Source organism: Homo sapiens, chromosome 7 (genome assembly GCF_000001405.40).
Source record: "Homo sapiens chromosome 7, GRCh38.p14 Primary Assembly".
Taxonomy (NCBI): Eukaryota; Metazoa; Chordata; class Mammalia; order Primates; family Hominidae; genus Homo; species Homo sapiens.
The window spans coordinates 78058378-78084604 of record NC_000007.14 but is presented as its reverse complement, the minus strand read 5'-3'; the positions used below and the strand labels follow the sequence as shown (position 1 = coordinate 78084604).

The window sequence follows — 26227 nt, the reverse complement described above, 5'->3', positions numbered from 1 at the left end:
ACTGAAGCCTCATTTGGTCTCCTGTAAGTACCATTGAAATTGTCATGATTTGGATGGAACTGCGTAAGGCAGTATTTCAAGAAAGCTTGAGGTATGCTGAGGTGCCCTAAAGCTTAACTTACACGGCATGCAAATGAAGACGTTTACTATCGCTGAAAGGCAAACCAAACATTCATTGACTCAACTGTGATTAACCGAGGGCCTACTTCTCAGGAACTGTGGCAGGTATAGATGACACAGAGACAATAGGTGTGTTCCCTGTCCATGAGGGGTCTAGTGTCAGTGGGAGAAACCAGCCTATAAGGGAGGAACGATGATGGCATTAGCCTGTGACCTCAGATCATTAGCCACAAAAATCGTCCATAGCTAAGTCCATCATGAAATAAGGAATAGAGATTATTCATGATTTATTGGTATAGTATTCCAAAGAAGCTCAATTCCTCATACCTAGTTATAATCTGGGATCACTTTAGTCATATATGATCATGCAAAATAGGCTCTTAGGATGCAATGGTAACATGAGGGCAATTAACTGATTACAACCAGGTAAGCACGTTTGTAACGATGTCCAAGCAACCCTTTGAGCTGGGACTGCCATGACTCATGGCTAAAGTAAATCCAGGATTTAATCTAATTCTTATAAATATTTCATTGAGACAAGCCAAATACTTTATATATGACTTGGCTACAAAAATGCATACAGTACAGAGTTTAAATTTTTTCTTCCAACCTGAACTATTAACAACATAAGGAATTATGAGATGTTTGCCTTCTCCTGCCTTGGCCTTCCATAGGCAAAAAAAGAAAAAGTTTTTTACCTGGAAAGCCCCAAGCAAGTTCAAAGATTTGGTGTTTTGTTAAAGAAAAATCCGCTATGATGTATGAGCAGAAATGTGTGAGTAGGAATGCAGAACTTACTAGGCGGGGACCTAGACACAGCAGTTATCCCGCTCCGCCTTGTCCCTGTGACATTACTCTAAGGTTGTTAGTTGCCCCAAGGGGACCACAGATAAAAGTATTTCTTCCATAGGAAAAAAATGAGTGCTTAGAATTCCTCTTAAGTCCTTTGATCAGTTTCCTAAATTTGGCATTTCCTTGACCCACATAATGCAGTGCACACAGAGACTCCTGAATTACCTTTATCTGGTTTTAGTATCTCTGTCTCTCTCTCTGTCTCTCTCTCTCTCTCTCTCTCTCTCTCTCTCTCTCTCTCTCTCCCCCCCTCCCTCCCTCCCCCGCCCCCCCACCATCTCCTTCTCCCTCTCCCTCTCCCTCTCAACTGGAACTCGATATTTTAAAAATACTCTAAGAATGAGTGGAGATCTTAGAAGTTTCATTTTAGTAACATAGCTCAGTTGAAGATAGCTCTGTGGCAGAGAGAGTATAGAAAGAGACTACATCAGAGTCACAGTTGGTCTTTTTCTTCATTTCTAAAAGGGCTGCGAATTTTCTATTGGTTTTAAAAAATTAATTCTCCCGATTGTGATAGCGGAAAGTGACACTCTTTTGTCACACACTGGCCACTGCACTGAAGTCAGATGAGGTCGGAAAGTAGGAAAGTAACAAGAGAACCCCTTGCCCCACCTCCTGCTGTCCCCCGATAAGTCGATCTTCTTATATATCCAGATGACAGTGAAAGAGATCACATCCCAAATTTATTTAGGGAGTTCCAGTTAAAATTATTATACAGAATACTGATATTGGAATGAAAATGAAAATTCAACCCTTTCACAGTTCATACTGTTCCAAAGAGAGATGGAAGTCTTGAAGCCAGGTCTGGACTGAGTCTGTTGCCATTGAAACCAGGTCCCCGTGAGTCAGCCCACTTTTAAAATAATGCCCAGAGTGCTTTGCAACGGTCAGAGTCTATGTCAGCAGCAGCATTTTCGTTCCATTACCTAACCACCACCAGCCCCTAGAAATGTTTTTTCCTCGATTTAGTAAGATCTTGAACTATTCCCAAACTTCCGTTGCTCCAAAATGAGGCAGAAAATCAGTAGACACAACCCTCACCACCCAATGGCACTGATACCCTGGAATGGGGAAAGGGCATAGGAGAGATTCAGCATGTATCAGAGCCTCTCCCTCTGAGGGGACCCTACATGGAAAGCCGAAATTATGGAAATCTGCCAGGTGAAGAGGTCAGCCCAGGCTCCTGGGAACCCGATAAAAATAATGTCCCTGACTTCCCGGAGCCTCATTCCTGAGGCCCCCACAGAGGGGACTTCAGCTCAGCCCTTACGCAGCCCCTAAACCCCTCTGCTTCTCCTCCTCCCCCGTAGCTTTCAAACCACCGCTTCTCTCCTCCAGGCTAATGCCTTCTCCTTTAAGTCTCATAAGTTCCTTGTAGGGAAAAGGGAAAATAAACACACAAGTGAATGAAAACTTCAAATTTTCTAAGTCTTGCTAAACTCAAGTATGGGACCAGAGTCAAAAGACGGGACTATTTCTATCACAATACAAGATCCCTTTTGCCCTCCACATGGTTTTTGGTTAAAATGTCAGTCTCAGGACACAAGTAACCACAAGGCGGCAGTGGCTGTCAAGATTCGATTTGGGGTTCGAGGGGGTTTATACCTCCCTCTCCCATGGGTTCAAGATAACCCATGTGGAAGTACTTCACTCATTCACCAATATATTCAGTGCACCTCATCCAGACACACAGTTAAAAGAGACCCAGACTCTGTGTCATTGTCCTCATCATCTCCTTCCCCACAGCCTCCTAATGTCTCACTTGGATAGACCATGTGACAACACCGCAACTCAACTCCCTTCCTCAGTCTTCCAGCTTTCTCTTCTTCCACTTTCCATAGTGAGGTCACAGGGAGATTTCTAACCACCACTCAGCTTCCCCGGTCAGGTTACCCCATGCTTAACTTTTTAGTGCCTTGCCATTGCCTTTAAAATAAAACCTAAACTCCTGAACAGTATAATAAACTACTGACAGTTTCCCAAATATACCATTCCCTCAAACTTTGCAGCCTTTACATATGCTACTCTCTCTGCCTAGAATGCTTTCCTCTTTGCCTAGGGAACTCCTACTGGCACTTCAAAACTCAACCGATATGTCACCACCTCCTGGCAGCTCTCCCTGACTACCCACCACCCCCACTTTCTGGGTTAGATGTCTGTTCTTTCTGTGCCCTTAGTACTTTGTGAATGCCTCTGTCATAGCAAAGATACATTGAGTAGTAATAGCCTTATTTACCCATTTTCTTCCCAACTAGACTGAGAACTTACTGTACATAGAAATGATACCATTTCTCTCTATATCCCCAGTTGACTGTCTGGTACATAACAGGTGCTCAGAAATTATTTACTGAATGAAGACACTCAAAACCTAGGAGGGAAGACAGAGACTCATGAATCTGTAATGAGGCATAATAATCAGAGTGGGGTGCCATTACTACTGAACAGAGAGAGTGGACATCTCTGCTTGTGAAGAGCATAGAGTCGAGGAAGGCACCCATAGGAGAAGATTCTTATTACCTTCAGAAAGAACAAGAAATCACCAGGCCTGTGGGGAGGAGGAGAAAAAAGAACAGCAGTATGTGTACAGGCCTGAATGCTTCAGTCAGCATGACACATTTGGCAAGCTTTTCCTTAGAAGGATTACTCTGGTGACAATGAAAAGAGGTTGGCGGGAGAGGGACAGGGGAATACTGGAATAACCATGTAAAGGCCTGAATTGAGCTTGTGAGCGATGGGATACATATGAGGACAGGGACAGATGCAGAGAAGTTGAGAAAACAAGGAGTGTAGCGTGACCCCCAGGTTTCTGCTTGGGTGAATGGTGTTGCCATTAACCAGGATTGGGAATTAAGAGGAAGAACCACTTTGGGAGAAAGGTAGTTAGCCCTGTCTACTGCTTCTACTGCTGTTGAGTTAGAGTTGCTGTTGGACAGACAATGAGGTGACGATGTTTAGTAATCAGCTGGACGTGTGAGTCTGAAGCTCAGAAGAGAGTCTAGCCAGGAAGGAACACTTTTTCTATATGTAACTTCATTGGAACTGCTATTTTACTTTTTCAGTTTAATTCTGTGCCATGAGGTTTCTGTTGTGGGAGAGGGCTACTGGGGGAGGGATAATTGGTCCCATTTCTGCCTCTGGCTTAGATACATGGCCTCTGGCAAACTATTCAAGTTATGCCCGTTGCCTCAGAGGAAAGGAGACAATTAAGGAAACCTGAAGAAAGCTACTGGCCCTAAAACAGTTAAGTTAGTTCCGTCTTCTTGGTTTTTCTGTGGAATGTGGAAGTCATACCAGTGAGGTAAACCTCATCCACTGCCCCAAATCCATACTTCTAAAGGCAGCTGAGTATACAAAGGAAGGTCTTTACCTTCATTACAGTGGAACCCTTACCACTTAGAGAATCATCCTTAGGTAGAGATGTCATTTCCTTGCTACAACAAACATGTTCTTCCCCCCGACTTTGGGGGTCTTGTTTTCAGGCTCTCCTGCCATTGTGATGGAAAATTTGTGTTCCTATTCTCAGCCAGCCTGCAGCATCCACACTGATAATGATTAGCTATAAAGAGTTTTTCTACAGTTCTGTTTGCATTACAGAGTTTAGACTGAGATCTGCTTTAAGGGACCTAACTAAAATAGCATTTTTGCAAAGCAACTCGTTGTGCTTTTGCTGGTTAATTTGTCTTATGTTACTTGCACTGAGATGAGACATTTTTTAATTCAAGGGTTCCTGACAGTAATGGTACTGTGGGAGTTACATGATGTGCTCATGGTTGAACCTCTTTTATTTCAACTATCTATTCACAAACGCCAAAAGGGAATTGCTTATGGAACCCAGGCATTTCTGAAAATTTAGGAGGAATTGGTATTTAACCAGACAGCTTCTGGCAATCAAGTGTGAGCATGGCAAAGATTTAGCCAGGGCATTAGTCATGTGGAGAGAATGGAGAATCTCATTTTTAATTCAAGGGGCTGTGATAGAAAACTCATCATCAAATGTGAATACCAACCAACCACTGTTTACAAAGAAGGCAATATCACAACAGCACCCAGGGAAATTTAAATGATACATACAAAAAATTCTCAGAGAAGCACAAAAACCAATAAATTTATCCAACATGCTGAATTGGATGCTGCACTAAGTTGACAGTTGGCAATAGAATCAATGAAAAGCCCTTAAAATGTTTACTTTTTGATTCAAAGCAAAGATGCCAGGTTATTTTGAATTTTTGTATCAGATATATTCCCTAATTTTTAAAACAATGCTAACTAGTTTACAGTCTCTGTCATAATAAGTAATAAGTAACATAATAAGTAACATATGGCTGCAGTCTTTGTGGTCTGATATTTTCATTTCTGTAAAGGTAAATAAAATTTGGTGATCAGATTCAGGATGCAGCCAGGGAATAGCCTCTTCCAAAAAGCAGCAGGCTGCCACCAAATTGTTCGGATGCTCTCAGGTCATCTAGACATGCTTTTTTTTTAATCTGTTGACAATGCAACTTGAGTAAAACCATCTTTGGCTGACTTAATTTTTCTTTAATCAACAGGTAGGAGATCAAATCATTGAAATCAATGGGGAAAGCACAAGGGACATGACACATGCCAGAGCAATAGAACTCATCAAATCTGGAGGAAGACGAGTGAGGCTGCTGCTCAAGAGAGGCACGGGACAGGTCCCAGAATATGGTACGTTTCACGTTTTAATTCACCCTTTTGCTCTTCCTTCTGTGAACCATAAATGCTTATGGTTATTTATAAAACTACATCAGTTCTCCACTTCTACCTAAATATATATTTAGCTATCAATAGGTATATATATACACACACACACACACACACACACATACACACACACACGTATGTTTATGCCCAGGAAATAAATGTGTGTGAACTCTTTCTTTTGCTCCCTCCATTAAGGAATGTTTAAAATATGAAATGTAGGACCTTTCAGGGCATCTGTGAGTGTGCGAGGAGATCTAGCACCACTTAAATATTAGAACTGTTACAATTTGACTGATAGTCCACTGTTCATTTGAGTACACAGTAATTTATCAATTATTTCCTAACATTGTTTATGCATCAGACTATCTCAAAGGATTTGTAACTGGGGCCAGAGACAAGCAACATATCTTCAGGGTGTGAAGTTTAAAATGTAAACTTCAGTTCACGCAATGGTTGCATTTCTTTGACATTTAGGAATTATTCTGAAAATTCACTCCTGTGTTGTGTTTCTGTATGCTTTTGAGGAAGGCTTTAAAGCATGTTTTGATTCATGGATTTGTCTTCAAACATCTTTAAAGTTGTTGTTTCCCAGCAGCCCATTATAGACACTACTGACAGCATAGCTCTAGTGTATCCAAAACAGCTGAGTGGTCATTACATGAAAAGCACCAAAACTTGAGGTGGCCTTTAAAGATAATCTCAGTGAGTGACAGACAGAAACAGACGGGCATACAGACACATCAGACTAGTGCAGATAATACCTGTTCAGATTAGGAAAACAAGATCTAACTGCTGACCTGAATAATGAGCTCTAAGTTGATTAAGATAAATTGACTCACTTTCATCCTTCTATCACCTACCCAAAAAAAAAAAAGATTTCTAGGGTGGGCGCAGTGGCTCACACCTGTAATCCCAGCACTTTGGGAGGCCTAGGCAGGCGGATCACCTGAGGTCAGGAGTTCAAGACCAGCCTGACCAACATGGAGAAACCCCGTCTCTACTAAAAATACAAAATTAGCCAGGCATGGTGGCACATGCCTATAATCCCATGTACTCGGGAGGCTGAAGCAGAAGAATCGCTTGAACCCAGGAGGCGGAGATTGCAGTGAGCTGAGACCACACCATTACACTCCAGTCTGGGCAACAAGAGCGAAACTCTGTCTCAAAAAAAAAAAAAAAAAAAAACATTCTAAAGAGTACTTTTCATTTCAGATTATTCTTTTTGCATACATTGTCTAAATAGCTAATATCTCCTTACTTAGCAGGGCAGATCTATACCCTGAGTTCAAATGAAATATCTAAACTCAAAGACCTTAAATGCGTTGTTTCCAGCATCTTGTGCACCCCTCAAAGCGTACAGAGAGAGCTAGCAAGCCTTCACAGTGAGTCAAAAAGCATTCAGAAGTTTCTGCAGGGCTGGCTCTAGGCCCAAGGAAACATTTCATTCCAGATTCCTACCCTTAATGCTTGGATCTAATAAAATATTTTTAAATATATATATATATATTATCAATAAGCACAGGCATGATCCTGCTAAAATGTACCAGCATTAATCCCTTTGTAAAGAATCTGAACTCTTGGAATAGAATAACCTTTTGCACTCTAGAGCATTGACTGATTCAGTAATATCAAAGTGACCTGTGAAATTCTATCACTTCTAAAACATACCACCTTTAATGGTATGCTTCACTCCATGGTGAGACCTGAATATTATCTATACCCAGACATTTTCACAGAGTTAATGTTGTTCTAACAAGTTTATCTTTAAAAAGTTAATCTAACCTGCATGACTATCCTGAGCTTTTCATTTTTCTGTAGAATCACTATTGGTCCCCGCTTTCTCAGCATCCACCACATCAGCTGCTTGTCTGTAGTGAGCAAGTAGAACATACTACTGATCAGCCTGTGGCATAACTCAAACTGTAATGAACAAATGTGAAGCCACCTCAAGCTATCATGAAGAAGAAATAAAAACATGTTTTTGAACAAGACAAAAATTCAAGATCGTGTCAACATTATTTCATTAATTCTTTTTTTTTTTTTTTTTTTTTTTTTTTTGAGACGGAGTCTCGCTCTGTCGCCCAGGCCGGACTGCGGACTGCAGTGGCGCAATCTCGGCTCACTGCAAGCTCCGCTTCCCGGGTTCACGCCATTCTCCTGCCTCAGCCTCCCCAGTAGCTGGGACTACAGGCGCCCGCCACCGCGCCCGGCTAATTTTTTGTATTTTTAGTAGAGACGGGGTTTCACCTTGTTAGCCAGGATGGTCTCGATCTCCTGACCTCATGATCCACCCGCCTCGGCCTCCCAAAGTGCTGGGATTACAGGCGTGAGCCACCGCGCCCGGCCTTATTTCATTAATTCTTAACATCACCTAAAAAGATATGATTACAGTGAAATTCTCAAATTAACCAGAGTTTTTTAAATATCCAGGCACACCTTTTTTTTTTTTTTTTTTTGAAACAAGGTCTCTGTCGCCCAGACTGGAGTGGAGTGGTGTGATCTTGGTTCACTGCAACCTCTGCTAACCAGGCTCAAGCGATTCTTCAGCCTCAGCCTCCTGAGTAGCTGGGACTACAGGTGCAAGCCACCAATGCCCAGCTAATTGTTTGTATTTTTGTAGAGATGGGGTTTCACCATGTCGCCCAGGATGGTCTTGAACTCCTGGGCTCAGAACAATCCGCCCATCTCAGCCTTCCAAAGTGCTGGGATTACAGGCATGAGCCACCGCACCCAGCCTGGGCACGCTTTTGAGTGGCCAATCATCAGCATTGTTAACTGTAGCAATATTGCAGAATTTCTTCTAAATATATTCTTCTAAAGTGGAACATTAAATCATACTTGCTAGTAATATTAGCACTTGTCTGCTACTTTTGATATTAAATTGAGATGGATTTTGACTGTAAAAACTTTAGAGATGATATCACAAAAGAAAGAACTTAATAGCATAGAACAATCTCCTTTAAGGAAGTAAAACAATAGTCAAACTAAATAAATGTTAGTTGTCTGGCAAAATCTAAGCTGAAAGGTGCTTGGTTATGCATAAGAAACCAAGATTAAGGATCATAGCATCTTTGAGGATAATGTCATCAAGTGATATTTCTGGAATTTCATAGTGACTGATGGGTGGGCAGATGGGGCCCAGGAGTCCCCAAGACCACCTTCACATTTAGAGATTTTCTAGGAGGCCTCCTGGGGCACAGAATATAACTGTGCTCACAGCTAAGATTTATTACATCAGCAGGTGTGGTGGCTCACGCCTGTAATCCCAGCATTTTGGGAGGCCGAGGTGGGCAGATCACGAGGTCAGGAGATCGAGACCATCCTGGCTAACACGGTGAAACCCCGTCTCTACTAAAAATACAAAAAATTAGCCGGGTGTGGTGGTGGGCGCCTGTAGTCCCAGCTACTCAGGAGGCTGAGGCAGGAGAATGGCATGAACCTGGGAGGCAGAGCTTGCAGTGAGCAGAGATCGTGCCACTGCACTCCAGCCTGGGTGACAGAGCGAGACTCCGTCTCAAAAAAAAAAAAAAAAAAGATTTATTACATCAATATAGTGAAAATACACATTGGGCTCACAAGGGAAAAGACACAGGCGGGGTCTGGAGGAATCCACATGCAGGCTTCCATATGCTGTCTCTCTCACACAAGGTGTCACCCAGAACACTCTTTCCACCCAGCAACAAAAATGCAGCAACGTATGTGTGACATTGCTGCTCAAGAAAATTCCCTGGAGACTCAGTGCCCAAGGTTTTCACTAGAGCCGGTGATGCAGGGACCCTCTGCCCAGCACATACCACACTTCCAGACTCCCAGAAGCAAAGCAGGTTCAGCACAAACCACACTGATTGTACAAACAGTTTAGATACAGCGAGACACACTTATAATTTAGTAAAATGTTTACATTAGCTTAGGGGATGATTTACCAGTCACATTTCCAGGCACCAGGCACCAGCCAATGGCCAACCTCGAAAGCTGGCCTTTCTAAGGAGAGCAGTCTCAGGCCTGCTCTGTTAACCTTTTCTGCGCCAGAAGCAAGCCAGAGAAGTGGCCACATCTATGAACTATACAAGTGACCACTACATACAAGGAGTGCCCACTGCTAGGAACACCATAATTCCTCCAGCATCAAATAGATTATATCATGAAACAGAATTTCTTGTCTTCTTTCACCAACTTTATGCTTTCATTTAAAAAAAGAATTCTTTTTGTCTAAGATAAACTAGAGTATATCTTAATAAATTCTTAAGTAGCAGAATTGGGTAACAGCAAAATAATAGCAACAATAACAACAAAAGAAAGTGCTAATGGAAAAGGAAAATTAAATACTTGAGTTTAACCAGTAGATATAGCCAAGAATATAATCCTACTTTTTCCTAATGCACCCTAATCATGGGAAAACCGATTTTTTTTTTAACCACTCCCTGTGGAAGGATTTCAACCAGTCCTCCTTTTGATATCCCTATGATTCAAAATTCAGGACAGCTTTGAAGCAAGACCCTTATCTGGACTTCTGGACATGTCAAGAAAAAGCTGATTTCAGTCAAGAGAAATAAAATTTCTCACTCTGAGTTCTCAAGGTGATCTGTGACCGAGAGATAAGCCTAGGTACAATTGAAAAAATACCAAAGGCGATCTGTCAGAGCATTGACTAAACAAAATCAGCATGACTCCAAGTGAGCTGGGGGAAGGAGTAAACATGCCGCAAATATGTCATCTCTAATTACCCAAAGACTAAACGTCAGGTGCCACCTCAGCCAATTCAGAGGTAGAAATCAACAAATGCCACCCCGAAAGTAGTGGCTGCACACAGAGGTTGTGGAGCAGCTGCAAGAGGAGTCGGAAAATGATAAGGGCTTTGAAGGAGGAGTTGCTTTCATAGTTAAGTCCTTGAAAGACAAGCTCAGGAGATAGATACTTCAACTCCACTCCAGTCCTCAGGATAAGAATTTGTTGATTGTAAACTCAGTGGGAAGCGTGAGTTCCCCTCCCCTGATACACATCTCAATGCCATACTGAGAAGAGAATCAGAAGATGCATCAAAAGCAGTGCCCTCCTTCACCCTGGTTATTGCTATTCAAATGAAATCCACAAAGGTTAAGAGAAAAGGAAGTATGCATCATGGTTGTAAAACTGCACAGGAATAAATTATACAGATTAGCTCCCTGCCTTGAAATGCAGGCTTCCTTCATTAGCATTCAAAGAGTACAACACGAACATACACTTGATTTATCAACTGAGCCACAGAGTCAGGGCCAAGGTAAATAGAGGTGCCGCTGGATGAAAAAATTCCCAACATAAGCAGTTCAGACCAAAGTGGAGCCTTTCCCTTGTTAATGACTGCTGTTCAAAGTTAATCAGAATAAAGCAAAATATAATAGGAACATGCTTTTTAGTCTGGGTTGGTGCTCTGGCCTGTTTATTCTCTTAAAAAGCCATAGGGCAGGGCTTTATGAATAGAACACTGAAGAGAGTCCAGTTGTAAGTGGGAGTCTCGGTGGTCTTAGGAGGCCAAGCAGGGTTAAAGAGGATGAAGCAGAAATCTCACAATGAAAATGGCCCAGCGACAACTAATGCCACATACCCACACCAAGGGGGAGAAACAGCCAATCAGTGAATTATACTTCTGCCTACGCTTTCATTTTCAAAGTTAATCGTTTCTTTAATATAATAGGTTTTGGCTTGACTACAAGCACTTGGTAAATGAAATTGTTTACGTTTTGTAAGTATAATAAAACTGCACTAATTGGAGAAACAGATCGATCTGAGCTAGTGACTATAGGTAAAGAAATGAATGGATCAAACAGTTGTTTAGTTAAAAGTCTTCCTTTAATCAGTAAGTTAAAATGACTTACAACAATTATATTAGAGCAGCAGGTGAAGCAGTACTGGCCTCTATGTAGATAGCAATAAGTAATGGTCATTTGTTTATTCTTCTTTAAGAACATATATTGCCAGCCAGGCGGGGTGGCTCACACCTCTAATCCTAACACTTTGGGAGGCCAAGGCAGGAGGACTGCTTGAGCCTAGGAGTTCAACAGAAGAGGCAACATAGGGAGACCTTGTCTCTACAAAAAAATTAGCCAAGCGTGGTGGCATACTCCTGTGGTCCCAGCTACTCAGGAGGATCACTTAAGCACAGGAAGTTGAGAATGCAATGAGCCATGATCGTGCCACTGCACACCAGCCTGGGCGACAGAGCAAGACCCCAACTCAAAAGAAAGAAAAAATATTGCCAAGTAAATGTTATAAGTATGCCATTATAATCTTTTTTGCTATTATCTGCTGAGTACATCCTTTCTTCCCTCTAATGATACAAAAATAAACTCCAGACAATATATTCCTACCAAGTACTCTATATGGAACAAATCCTGTGATTAATATTATTAGTTGATATAATTAGTATTTCCTCAACTAAATCAGATTTACTTAACACCTACTATGTGCAGGATGCTTTGCAGGCACTGAAGGTAAAATGTAGTCCTGGTCCTCAGTGAGCTGACACTAATAATGAAGAAATGTGTTTTTAGCAGAGTAGTGACTCATAAAAAGGTCTCAAAGGATCTGCTCTCATGAAAAACATTTAAATGGGTTTTATTAATTATTTGTAGAATTTAACAAGTACTTCTAGAGTGTTAAGAATCCTTGAAGAGCACTTGGCTTCTTCAGTTTGTTAAGAATTTCCTTTATAATATTTGTACTAATAATTAGTAGTTTTTCTGAAGAAAGAACTTGCTGAGTGGGGGTAAATCTCTACTGAGACCTTGTCTGAATTATTTCTAAATTATAATTTAATGAGCCAAAACTTCATCTATCAAATTCACTCTTCCCCTCCGGTGGCCATCAGCCACTTCTGGGAGCCCGGACGTGTTACCTCACACCCTGGGTCTGCCTTGGTGTGCTGACGTGCCTCCTCAATAAAAGACAAAGGACGGTCACCACTGCCCTAACCTGTTCCTCAGAGACCACGTTGATGGAAGTTTTAAGTGGCACCATAGCCTTGGCACTAATTCACCTGCATTTTTAATAGGGCAAAAGGTGACTTGCTGCAATAATAAATTCTGAAATTTAATTTCAGCTTCTGACATTCACGGTTGAGCGTATCTTCCTTTTCCATGAGAGCTTCCACAAATCACTCAAGAACACCTTCCACCGCGCAATAGAAAATGATAAAGCACCTAGGGAAGGGGACAGAATGTCTGGCAGAACCTTGGGTTACATCATACAGAGAACAGGGTTCTTCCTAGCTGAAAGGCTCAGGATGCTCTCTGCAGCATGTAGGCAACCCCAGGAAATCCGCTAACCATAAAAACTGCAGTAAATAAGTTCTTGCTTCATGGAGCCAGAGACAGGGGCTTTCTTTTTTTTCTGGCAGCGGGGACAGGGTCTGGCTCTGTAGTCCAGGCTGGAGTACAACGGTGTGATCTCAGCTCACTGCAGACTCCACCTCCCAGGTTCAAGCGATCCTCCTGCTTCAGCCTCCTGAGTAGCTGGGACTACAGGTATGCACCACCATGCCCAACTAATTTTTTGTATTTTTAGTAGAGACCGGGTTTCACCATGTTGGCTAGGCTGGTCTCAAACTCCTGACCTCAGGTGATCTGCCCTCCTTAGCCTCCCAAAGTGCTGGGATTACAGGCATGAGCCACCAGGCCCAGCCAGGGGCTTTCTTAAAGAACACAACACTGAATTCCTTTTCCCTGATGCTCAGCCAAAACCTCATTTGTTATCGTAAGTGATTTTAGGATGAGGATGAAATCACATTTCTTCCTATTGTTTTATTGAAAATCACGGACTATAATGATATTTCTTCTTTTTTACATATTCTTACATGATTTGCAACAAGCATTTTTCTTTTTAAGGATATTTTGTGCCCTGCCCACAACCTGCAAGTCCTAACTTGTTAGGTATTTAAGACTCTGATAAAAATATATTAGACCAGACCGGGTACAGTGGCTCATTCCTGTAATCCTAGCACTTTGGGAGGCCGAGGTGAGTGGATCACCTGAGGTCAGGAATTCTAAACCAGCCTGGCCAACATGGTGAAACCCCATCTCTACTAAAAATACAAAAATCAGCCAGGTGTGGTGGCACATGCCTGAAATCAGCCGGGTGTGGTGGCATGTGCCTGTAATCCTAGCTACTCGGGAGGCTGAGGCAGGAGAATTAGTTTGAACCCGGGAGGCAGAGGTTTCAGTGAGCCAAGATCATGCCATTGCACTCCAGCCTGGGTGACAGAGTGAGACTCCGTCTAAAAAAAAAAAAAAAATATATATATATATACACACACACACACATATATATATACACATATATACACATATATATACACATATATACACACATATATATACATATATACACATATATACATATGTACACATATATACATATATACACACATATATATACACACACATATATACACACACATATATATACACACATATATACACACACATATATATACACATATATATATACACATATATATATACACACACACATAGGGCAAAAGGTGGCTTGCTGCAATAATAAATTCTGAAATTTAATTTCAGCTTCTGACATTCATGGTTGAGCATATCTTCCTTTTCCATGAGAGGTTCCACAAATCACTCAAGAACACCTTCCACTGCGTAATAGAAAATGATAAAGCACCTAGGGAAGGGGACAGAATGTCTGTGTGTGTGTGTGTATATATATATATATATATATATATATATATATATATATATATATGTGTGTGTGTGTATATATATGTGTGTATATATATACACACACATATATGTGTGTGTGTGTGTGTGTGTATGTGTGTGTGTGTGTTTATAGTGACCAAGAAATCTACCAAGAAGAACCTGTTTAGCTATTAAGGTCCAGCCTTCCTCAATTCCCAAACACTTAAGTCGTGGAGAAGATGAGTGAATAAAGAGGTATTTTTCCCAAACTTCATCAAGAAGAGCACCCATGTACATCTTGGAAAACCTAAAGGTTCCAGCTCCTCCAGTAACCCATCATGAAGAGTCATATTTTAGGATCTAATAGGAACATTCCCTTCCTTGCCCCAACACAAAGTTGAGCTCTCCCGCAAGAGGGCTGCTTTCCCTAAGAGTCCAGGAGAAAAGGCAGCTGTCTCAGTGGAAACATTGCTGAATACTGTAAGAACTATGGGGAAGACCTTAAAGAAGTCACCAATTCAAGAAAATTTTTCTTACACAACCGGGGATTGTGGGGTGAGGAGTTGAGATTGAGGATCAAGGGACAAGATCAAATATGGAAACTAAGAAAATCCTAAAATGCAGAAGAGGAGAAAAATTAACACTTCTTTAAGAGGAATCAGAAGCCTCTCTCTCTCTCTCTCTCTCTCTCTCTCTCTCCTCTCTCTTTCTTTCAATCTCTCTCTCTCTCACACACACACATACACACATACACATACACAAACACACATACACACACAGTCTTAGAGAAATGATTCAGCCTTTTAAATACACAGATGCCTGCATTCCCTCTCGCTCTCCACATACCCTCTGGAGATTCTGACTGAGTCAGTTCAGTCCAGGACTCTATATTTTTAAAATATTAATATCATTCCAGGGATTTCAGGGAATATATCCTGGGGATTGCCGGACGTATCTGCTCTAGCTCTATTGTAAAGGCCAGGCCTGCCGAAGTTTCTACTTGTTGTCCTCTTTCTGTCCATGGCCTCCCACTATTTGAGTGTGCCCCACCCCTTCAGCCTTTGCCCATCAAGTCTGAATTGCTCTCCATTCTATGACTTGTCAGCCCTTGCAACTTAGAGAAAGGAAACTAGATTTTCCTCCCATTGTCTTCCCATTTTCCATATCAGGCCTTTTTGACAATCTGAGCTCTCCTCATTACGGAGAGTCTGGCCCTGTAGTTCACAATGTGAGAATGTTGATTCCAGAAAAGGCTTCGAACCTCTCAGCTGGACCTATTAAGAAGTTGGTGCTACATGCCAAAGCTGTTTTCTCCAGTCTCATTTTCTCATGTCTTGAAATAGAGACATTACAGAAAAGATGTTGATCTTAAGGAGTTTAACAACAAAGCCCGGCTGCTCAAAGTACAGTCCAGTATCTTAAGACAAATTCCAGGGTAAGTCCAACCAATTGCCATCACCAGCAAGGGTCCAGTCTCCAAGGCATCACTTCAGCCAGGCCCATGCCTACTGCCCTGTCCTGGTTTCCCCTAGTCAAATAACTCAAGCTTTAATTTTTTAACCAAAGTACTCTAAACCCCTCATTTCCAGTGGAACAAACAGGTGAGTCCATAAGGCCACCTTTTTTTAAGACTTGATTTTTTAGAGCAGTTTTAGGTTCACAGCAAATTTGAGAGAAAGGCACAGAGATTTCCCATATACTCCCTGCCCCCATTCATGCACAGCCACCCCCATGATCAGCACCCCCACCACAGTGTGCATTTGTTACAACTGAGGAACCTACATTGACACATTGTTATCACTCAGAGTCCACAGTTGACACTAGGGTTCAGTCTTAGTGTTGTATATCAGGGGTCCCCAACCCCTGGGCTGCAGATCCTGACTGGTCCATGGTCTGTTAGGAACCGGGCCACATAGCAGGAGGTGAGCAGTGGGCACGGGAGCATTACTGCCTGAGCTCCACCTCCTGTCAGATCAGTGGCAGCATTAGATTCTCATAGGGGCGCAAACCCTACTGCGAATGGCACATGCAAGGGATCTAGGTTGCCTGCTCCTTATGAGCATGTAATGCCTGATGCTCTGAGGATCTGAGGTGGAACAGTTTCATCCTGAAACCATCCCCCTACCCCCACCTGGTCTATGGAAAAATTCTCTTCCACAAAACTAGTCCCTGTTGCCAAAATTGTTGGAGACCACTGTTGCACATTCTATGGGTGTAGACAAATGTCTAATGACGTGTCCACCTTTGTAGTATCATACAGAATAGTGTCACTGCCCTAAAAACCCTCTGTGCTCCATCTATTCATCCATTCCCTCCACACCCACCCCTGGCAACCAATAACCGTCTTATTATCTCTGTATTTTTTACCATAAGTCCAGATTTTTGTTATTCACAAACTGCCTACAACCTTGCTCGAAGTTAGCATTGCCCCAATGTCCTGTTCTGATAAGAACTCCCAATATTTAACTATAGACCTTCAGTCAGGATCAGAAATAAAGTCATATAATGCCTTACTCCAGGCTTTAATTGTATGCTCTAACTACAACAAAATCTCTAAACTTAAGAATCACACATTCATCAATGTGCTGTTTGGATTCAATATTTTTTTAATAGAACAACAAATGCACACTTAGCCCAGACTAAATAGCTGTTAACTATAAAGTGGCTCAGACATTTGCTTTCAAAATAACCTGCCTTTACAGTTCTGTAGCAAGGTCTCTGGTCGGTTCAGCATGCACTCTTCAAGAGTGACCCTGGCCTTATTGGGATCCTGGGTTTTAGGATTGGACACATACACTCATAATGTATGCATTAATATGCCTAGCACAGTATGCAACTCTCTGTTTCTCACATTTCACTGCAGTTTCTACTCCAGCCTTCACAGCAATTTATTTCCACCATGCTCTGGGCACTTTTATTTGACCTTCTGGGCATGAGGTCTCCTGGCACGTGTATCTTCCAAGCCCAGTAAAGGCCATGTTTAAAACCAAATGAGAGCCTTCGCTGTGTGACACTGAAACAGCTTGATCATTTTTGCACAAAATTACTTGCATCTTGGCAGGGCTAAGTGGTAAACTCAATTAATAAATCGTGAAATTTAATTTCTACTTCTGACATTTATTGTTAAGCATGTGCTTCCTTACCCTCCAGAGGTTCTACTTTCCATTTAACCTCGAGGTGTTAGGGCTCCGCCTGCACTCTCCCTTTCCTCAAACACACCGTGCTATGAAAAACACCCCATGTGGCAAAACCCAAAATTGATGTGGAGTGCAATTCCATTCTGCACATTGAAGCCGTATATACATAGCACCACGTGTGGAGCAAGTTGGGCATGCAGACGGGGAGAATCAGTGTTTGCTGGCAAAGAGGAAATCAGGCCTCAACACATCCAAGCTGCATGGATTAAGTTCTTCTGATCACATTAACCTCACAATGAGCACATCCCCCTTATCTCACCCTGAGCAGAGCTGAGAGAACACAGGCAGTGCAGGAAGCAGTTGTTGCCTCTTCTAGGGGCCTGTCTCTTGGAAATTACTAATCTAGATATTCCAGAATTTCTAGTACTCATCTTTGTATAGGTAAAGAACTGTAGTCCATGATCTGAGCTAGATTCAGACCAAGACCACCACGAAGAGGTTGGTTTCAGAGCACAACCCACAGCAGGTGAGTACAGTGGAACAGAACAGGCAAGACACTGCTGCATTTTTTTTTCAGCTTTATTTTCTTCCAGAAAGCAATTATATCCAGCAAGTCAACTATGAATTTTTTTTTTTTTTTAAGACAGAGTCTCATTCTGATGCCCAGGCTGGAGTGCAGTGGTGCTATGTCGGCTCACTGCAACCTCTGCCTCCCGGGTTCAAGTGATTCTCTTGCCTCAACCTCCTAAGTAGATGGGACTACAGGCGCACACCAACCTGCCCAGCTAATTTTTATATTTTTAGCAGAGATGGCGTTTCACCATGTTGGCCAGGCTGGTCTTGAACTCCTGACCTCAAATGTTCCGCCCACCTCGGCCTCCCAGAGTGCTAGGATTACAGGCATGAGCCACCGTGCCTGACCATGAATTTTGAATTTAATACGCAAAGTTTTAGTGGTAAGGGGAACTCTATGAATTTATGAGATTATTAGAGAAAATATAAACATGGGGACACTACGTATTTATTTTTATAATCCTTTTAAAATTTAGAAATGATTACTGTGACTGATTCTCAAATGACAGTTGATATCCCTAAAACATCTCATTATTATGAGAAAAGCCTACAAGAATTTACATATTACCATTTCAAATTTTATTAACATTTGTGCCTCCATTAAAGCACCTCAGGATGCCCTCAATATTTTGAGAAAAGTCTACTTTTGAAATACACATATAGCTCAGTCTTTCACTAATTTCACTTGCTGCATGCTTGATAGGGTTAGCTTTACTTAAAGTCTTTATTCTTACTGCCTAGATAATTTTTATTCAACTGCTCTAAACATACTAAGCAATCTTGATTCTAACAGTAATAATATATCTTTGTTACTGGTTCTGTTAATTCTAATGATTGGTCCTAGGCTGTTCCTCCCCTTCCTTTAGGAATGGTACCTTCCAGTCTCTCCATGTGCATGAAAAGTGACAAGCATGGGTCCCCATATTTCTACTTATTGGGCCACCCTAAAGACACGGTTTGTAAAATCTGCATGAATATTATCTTTCTCTAATGAGCCTTGGTTTTGCATATGTTTTTAACTGATGTATAATGCTTTCTCTTTCATAGTAGCTTGTCTAATTATTTCTAGAGTTCTGGAATATATGTATAGCTCAGACCTTATAAGTGATAAGGATAAGATTTGCAGATTCATGAAAATTTGAGATGCACCGCATTCTAGCAGGGGCCAGCCTAGAATGACCCCAGCAGGAAGGAAGCAGGTAGAGAACAGCAGAGCAGCACTGGCCGCGTTCCACCCCACATATTTCAGAGCATCCTCCCTGGGATTCAGTGCAAGTCACTAAATTTGTTTCCTCTCAGCCAAAGTATAGACAGCTGTAACCTAAGCTATCCTTTTTGTGTCCGATAGAAAGAGAGCCACAGTTGCCAGACCTTCTAGCCCTAGAAACTCCAAACTCCACCTGGCATCATGGGTATTTCCCAGCCTGCTCTGTGGCAGTTATCCAATCAGGACAAGATCCTGTCACCTTCCTTCCTCCATACTCAGTGATGCACCAAGTTTAAAGAAAAAAAAAATTTTAAGGGCCCAATTGTGACTATTTTTTTTAAAGTAGTCATAACTTTACATCGAGTTAGTATTCGCTACTGTTTCAAAAGGAATATTCTCAAGTGTTGGCTATATTTTAGCCTTGGTTAAAAAATCTCAAGGAAAGAAAATGTAACCCATAATTTTTTAAAAAATCAGAATGTAGATGATAGCCTTGCAACCATGGTTCAAGCAACTTTTTACCCCTGAAATACATCCCTAGAGCAGCCCACATTTCACTGTCACATTCTGCAGTGGCATGTAGCTACTGCCGCAATTTAACTGGACTGGGATTTTATATGTCACTTTGGCTTTTTAGCAGAAACTGTACTCATGCTCAGTCTCCATGGTTAGCCATATAAGTATAAATCAAACTGACACACTTCTCAATTCTGGTTTGATTCTATCCCATTCACACTGTCACAACCATGGCTAAGCACCCCTCCACCAAATTCTTTTAAACTGGCTCTCTGAATTTTTTCTGAAACATATTTTCCAATTGTTAATGACCCTGCTAATTACCATCCAGGACTGGCTAGAATTTAACATAAAAGACAACATTATTCATTAAGTAAATTATTTAATTGGCTTACTACTAAACATTTTCTTATCAAAAAGTTTTATGCTTATATAAATTTATGTAGATACACACACACACACACACACACACACACAAAACCATCACAGTCATTCCTTGAAGCTATCTACAAAAACAAATTTTAAATGTATCATTTCTCCAAAGTATGTCTCTCAAAAGGTAACTTGCTGATCAGGGAAAACTACATAGCTAAGTTAAGGCATAAAGGAGAAAGTTGCAATGTGCTAGAAAAGGGATAAAGCCATGGAATACTTATTGGGGAAATCTAGTCCAATGACTGTAGGTTAAGGAGGGATAGATTTCTGTTTCTGACAAAAGAAAAGTCTATGCTTGCCATATAATTTACTTTAACTAGTCTGTAATCCATGGGGATGAGGAGGCCTGAGTCAATTCACTAGAGTCATTAACTTTAAAAAAAGAGAGAGAGGGCTCTTTGTGGTTTCAGTTCAGTTCCATAAGCATCTGTCAAGCACCACCTGTGACCCCAGGCCTGTTGCTCATTGCTAGGGATATAAAGATTAATAAAAAGGCTCTGCTATGTCCATTCATAAGCTAGGATGGAAGACAGGGAGATAATTACATAATGGGGCAAGATCAATAGTATCAGCAAAGGGTGATAAGAACCCAAAGCAGGCAGTAAACTAATCTGCTTAGCAGAATTGTAGAAAATTCTACCCAAGTGGTAAAATTTTAGCTGGGCATTGCTTTCACCAGAGTGGAAAAAAGATAAGCCTGTTTGTTTCCAAGCAGACGAAATGGTTCAAGGAAAGTCAGGGAGATGTGTTCAGAACAGCTATAACATAGGCTAAATGGCAAAGGGGGATAGCCAAAATGAAAGAGGAGCCCTTTAAAAAATAGCCTTCTGGCTGGGCACGGTGGCTCACAGCTGTAATCCCAACATTTTAGGAGGCCAAGGCAGGAGGATCGCTTGAGGCCAAAAGATTGAGACTAGCCTGGGCAACATAGCAAGGCCTTATCTATACAAAAAAATAAACAATTAGCCAGGTGTGCAAGCACATGACTGTAGTTCCATCTACTTGGGAAACTGAGGCAAGAGGATTTCTTGAGCCCAGTAGTTTGAGGCTGCAACGAGCGATGATTGCACCACTGTACTCCAGCCTGGGTGACAGAGTGGGACCCTGTCTCAAAAGAAAAGAAAAGAAAAGAAAAAAATACCTTCTATCCCAAGCGAAGGAATCTGAGGTTTATATAATCAGATGTCACCAAAAGAAATTTTTTAATGGGAGGGTAAAAACATCTGTATTTGGAAATATACCTCAGTAGTATTTAAGATGGGCTTTATAGAAAAATGCAGGCAGTTAAAATGTTATTGCAGAAGTTGAAGCAAATGACGTGAGGGCTGGAATTAAGAAAGTGGTGGTGGAAATAGCACATTGGGGTTGGATATTGGGGATATTTCAGTCATTTCATTGATGAAAATAAAGAAGGTTGGTGAATAATGAATGTGAAGGACAGGATCAGAGAGGAGGACTGTGGCCCTGGGCTGGGTGGGAGATGATGTCAGGAAGCTAACAGGAAACACAAGTGAAGGGCCAAGCTTAGGCAGAAGGATGATGAGGGGAATTTTGGACTTACTGAGCTTCAGAGGCCTGAGAGACACTTAAGTGAGGAAGCCCAGAAACAGGGCACTTGGATGAGGCACTCAGGAGCTGGAGCCGGAGCATTTGGGGAGTCCTGGAAAGGACTTGGAGCCATAAGTGGGGCTGAGCTCTCCCAGAGAGCACCCACTGCATACAGAGAGAGGAGCGCCAGATGACAAAGCCACATTGGACAGGGAAGTAAGAGAAGTTGGTGAAGAAAATCAGGAGAGGGCAATCTGAGAGACAGGAAGAGAACCAGAGAGAAAAGCAATTTGGAAGCCAGAGAGGGGCTTCAAAAATAATTACCCATTTTCTAGATGAAAAAGTGGTTGCACCACCCAGAGATAGGCTGGGAAGCAAGTTAGAAAAGGAGTGGAGAGGACTGGCGCAATGCCAGGCACATAGCACTCAAGACATGATGGCTTTGTGTGGATTGTGGGTGGGAAGTGGCCTTCGCCTGCTACTCCATGGACCTCTCTATAGGCCCTCCCCACATGCCTCCCCATGTTCTGAGCCACTCCAGGAACCCACCCAGTGTGGACACCCACCTCGGATAACTAGAGCTTCTACTTAGCTCCAGCCATGGGGGCCCAGGCCCTGTTGTTTCTGCTTTCTTTTTTCAGAGGCAGAGGTGGTCAGAGTGCAAAGATGAGTAAGATACCATCTCTACACTAAAGTAACTCTCTATATGGGGAAGGGTTAAGGAAAACGGGGTGCTTGTAGGTTACCAAAACAAAAAAATGTCGCACTCTTGTTGAAATCATTTCTTGGGTTCCTTTCCCGGCTGATGTATAAGGTATTCTGGAAACAGGCATGCTCTGCCCAATTTCTCTTTTCCTGTGACATACTGCATTTTAAAATCTGAATTTTATCAAGACTCCAATGACGAAGTCCCCTCAAAGATCTCCAGTTTCACTATGATAACAAAATCTAATGACGGATTCAACCCGTCAGCCCCTGTAACAACTAACACTGTTGGTCAGTGTATTCGCTGGATTTTCTCTTACCTGTTCAATTGCTCCTCTGGGGTCTTCAACTCTCTTTCCACCCATAACAGCCCTCCCCACCCTTTCCTTCAGGATCTCTCTTGCTCTCATGGTTCCACCTGTCCCACTGTGCAGAGGACTCTTGTGTCTGTTTGCCACCCCTGCCTTCATTTCACAGCTTCATCCCAAGACTTCAAACTGCCTGCTAGACAATTCTACCCAGATACCCTGCATTTATGCATTGAAAATTGTATTCATGACCTTCCCTCCCAAAATATTCCTCCTCTTGAATCACCTATTAATTAAGGGGCCATCAACCCTCCTGGTTGGCTCAAAACTACCTTGGCTGGCTTCCCCACTCGTGTGTGTGTGTGTGTGTGTGTGTGTGTGTGTGTGTGTGTGTGTGTGTACAACCAGTCCCCAGATGTGAGCATACTTCTTTCATTTCCCACATCAGCCTCTCCTCCATTCCCATTGTCATTCTGTCCCAGTTCAGGCCCACTCCCCCGGATTAGACAGCCTTTACTTGTTTGCCCTACTGCTATACTGCTATGGTATATCTTCCCTGCTCATTGATGCCACAGTTGTCCTAAAGGATTGCCCCACTCAAAATCTTTTCCATCTAAAAAAAAAAAGAAAACCTTTTTTTTTTTTTTTGAGACAGTCTTGCTCTTTCACCCAGGCTGGAGTGCAGTGGCACAATCTCGGCTCAGGGGAATCTCTGCCTTCTGGGTTCAGGCAATTCTCACCTCAGTCTCCCAGGTAGCTAGAATTACAGGCATATGCCACCGCCCCCAGCTACTTTTTGTATTTTTAATAGAGACAGGGTTTCACCATGTTGGCCAGGCTGGTCTTGAACTCCTGGCCTCAAGTGATCTGCCTGCCTTGGCCCCCCATAGTGTTGGGATTACAGGTGTGAGCCACTGCACCCAACAAAAACCTTTAAGTGCATCCCCAAGCCATCCGTGATTTGGCCCCATCCTGCTATTCACTCTCATCTCCTATCTCACACAATACTCCATTACATAGATGTGTTCCAGTTACACGGGAACACTTGTCATTGACCTGCATCCCCACCTTCAGGGTTGGGCACATGCTGTTTTCTTGGCTTAGTAAACCCTTTCCCCAAATCTTGTCCTCCTTCAAGATCCAGGTCCAAAGCTTGCCTCCTCCATGAATCCTTTCCCAAGTCCGGCAATCAGAAGGGATCTCTCAGTCGTCTGAAGTCTCATAGCCCTCATGCTTCTTTCCTGTTCTCTCTCACTCTCTGCTTTGCAGCATAGTTATCAGTGTCCACATACTTCCTCCCCTTTGTGGTATTCAAACTCCTTGAAGCCAGGAACCTAGGTTCTTTGTACAGTGCTTAGCAGATTGAGGACAACAAGAAAGACTGAATAAGTAAGTGAATGGATGAATAAACATCTTGCAGTTTATCAAGATGTTTGTCAGAACGAGGTCATCATTCTGACAGCAAATTTCAATGCAGGTTTTTATTTAGATGGTTGTAGAAGCCACAAGATTGGTGGCCCAAATTTTCACTGACACTCTCAATCTAATCTAAAGAGGGGGGGGGGTCCCTTTTGTTTTTTAAATAATTTCCTGCCTATCCACTTATTCTCATGTAATGTATCTCTGTGTTAATTGTTGAGTGGAAGAAAACTGGCTACTTGAATGTTCCAGGTAGTTGCTTCTGGTTCATCTAAGTTTTACTGTTACTACAAAGTGTTTTTTCTCACATTGTAATTGTGACCTATGTTGGCAGCACAAACTGTAGTCTAATATGCCAGTGCTGCTGGGCTACAGAAATGCCATGTCTAGCACGGTCTCCTGGAGACATAAGGTAGCCAGGACCTGTGGAATGAGAGCTAATGTTAGGTCTGTCTGAATGAGATTCTGTGCCTGCCTTTCTGTTGTGGAAAAGGGGCTGCCACGAAAATTCTCTAAGCTCCCTTCTAGTCTCCTGGGTCTCTACCAAGTTTAACCAAATTTGCCTCTTATATGTCAGCCATTGTTTGATGCTGTAGGGACTCCAGAAAAAAAATATATATATATATATATGGCATTGTTCCTCCCTCGAGGAGCTCTCCATCTCACTAAAGAGCTGAAAATTCTTACTTAGAATAAGAGAGTACAAACCAGAATAAGAGCATTTGAGGCAAGTAGCAGAAATAATGACCAGAATAGTCAGACAGGGCTCCTTGGAGGAAGGTAGTCTTGAGATACCCTTAAGGAGCCAGTGGATTTTAGATGGGCAGAGAGGAGAGCAAAGGGCTCTACAACTTGAAACGAATGTAGGATATTGTCAGAGATGATTTTGAAGCTGACACGCAAATGATATATCTAGAGCATAGGGTTCCTACCAAAAGGTAAAGTCACAAAAGCATTGAATGATTGGAAGAAGCAGATATCTAGAAACTAATGACAATGAGAAGGCACAGAAAGTTCTCAAGCATCATATTGACACTGCCAAAGAAGTGCTTTATGGGTGGTGGCAAACATTTCTGGAAAGGGTTTTTAATCCTGTGTACCCATTATCATCACCTGTGGATTTGGATTTGAAAAATACCCACAGAGGCTCCTCCCTAGACCAATTCAACCAGAACGGGGTGGGAAAGACTGGCAGGCAGAGGTGGGCTTCTGCTGTTGTTAACATGCCCCAGGTCAATATGATGAGAAGCCAGAGCTAAGAACCAGTGGACTAGAGGTAGATCAGATAAGCTATTAAGATAACCTAGGAGATGCAGGGATGGGGTAATGAGAAACTAAAAACAGAAGTAAGATGCAGGTGAGTTGTCAATACCAAGAGCCTTGAAAGAAGAATCAATAAAACCTGCTGAATGATGGTATAAAGGGACTAAGAATTAAGAAGGATTCAAAAAGTATCCCCACGTTAGAAACTAAGTATTTGAGAAAACGGCAGAGCCATCATCAGGGAAAAAGACATAGGAAAATTCTAAAGTGATGCCGTTAACTAGCTGTGCAACCTTTCAAGAATTACCTAATTTCTCTGGACCTTGGTCTACTCATCCATAAAATAATAGGGTTCAGTTATAAGATGCCTTAGTTCCTTTTTAATGCTTACATGGAGAGTACTATGAATGAATTAATCTGAGGGTATAAAAAAACACGTGGCCAGGAGTGGTAGCTCACGCCTGTAATCCCAGCACTTTGGGATTACAATTAGCTGGGCGTGGTGGCAGGCGCCTGTAGTCCCAGCTACCCAGGAGGCTGAGGCAAGAGAATCGCTTGAACCCGGGAGGCGGAGTTTGCAGTGAGCCGAGATCACGCCATTGCACACCAGCCTGGGCAACAAAGCGAAACTCCGTCTCAAAAAAAAAAAGGAATTTTAAGATGTATGTGAACATTCAAATAGTGATTCACAACAAGCAACTGCATCATAGTTGTGGCTTCAGCAGTTAAAACCGAAAGAGCAGATGGAGT

General features: G+C 42.2%; 1 protein-coding gene across 15 annotated transcripts in view, besides 1 other annotated feature; it reads left to right on the top strand.

Annotated features, from left to right (window-relative positions):
• MAGI2 (membrane associated guanylate kinase, WW and PDZ domain containing 2) overlaps window positions 1–26227 on the top strand; it is a 1436613-nt gene that overhangs the window by 1369063 nt on the left and 41323 nt on the right. For 10 of the 15 annotated variants that reach the window (XM_017012845.3, XM_017012846.3, XM_011516718.3 and 7 more), the window contains 2 exons: window positions 5520–5658; window positions 18943–19031. In XM_017012845.3, the coding sequence (XP_016868334.1) occupies window positions 5520–5658; window positions 18943–19031 (228 nt within the window). The remainder of the gene's footprint in view (window positions 1–5519; window positions 5659–18942; window positions 19032–26227) is intronic. The other 5 variants (XM_047421093.1, NM_001301128.2, NM_012301.4 and 2 more) reach the window with 1 other exon arrangement.
• Window positions 9702–10321: an enhancer, noted in NCBI's record as "OCT4-NANOG-H3K27ac hESC enhancer chr7:77703601-77704220 (GRCh37/hg19 assembly coordinates)". NCBI's record gives its function as "activates a minimal SCP1, AML or CMV promoter by ChIP-STARR-seq in primed H9 embryonic stem cells {active_cell/tissue: H9 hESC(primed)}" and the evidence as "EXISTENCE:reporter gene assay evidence [ECO:0000049][PMID:30033119]".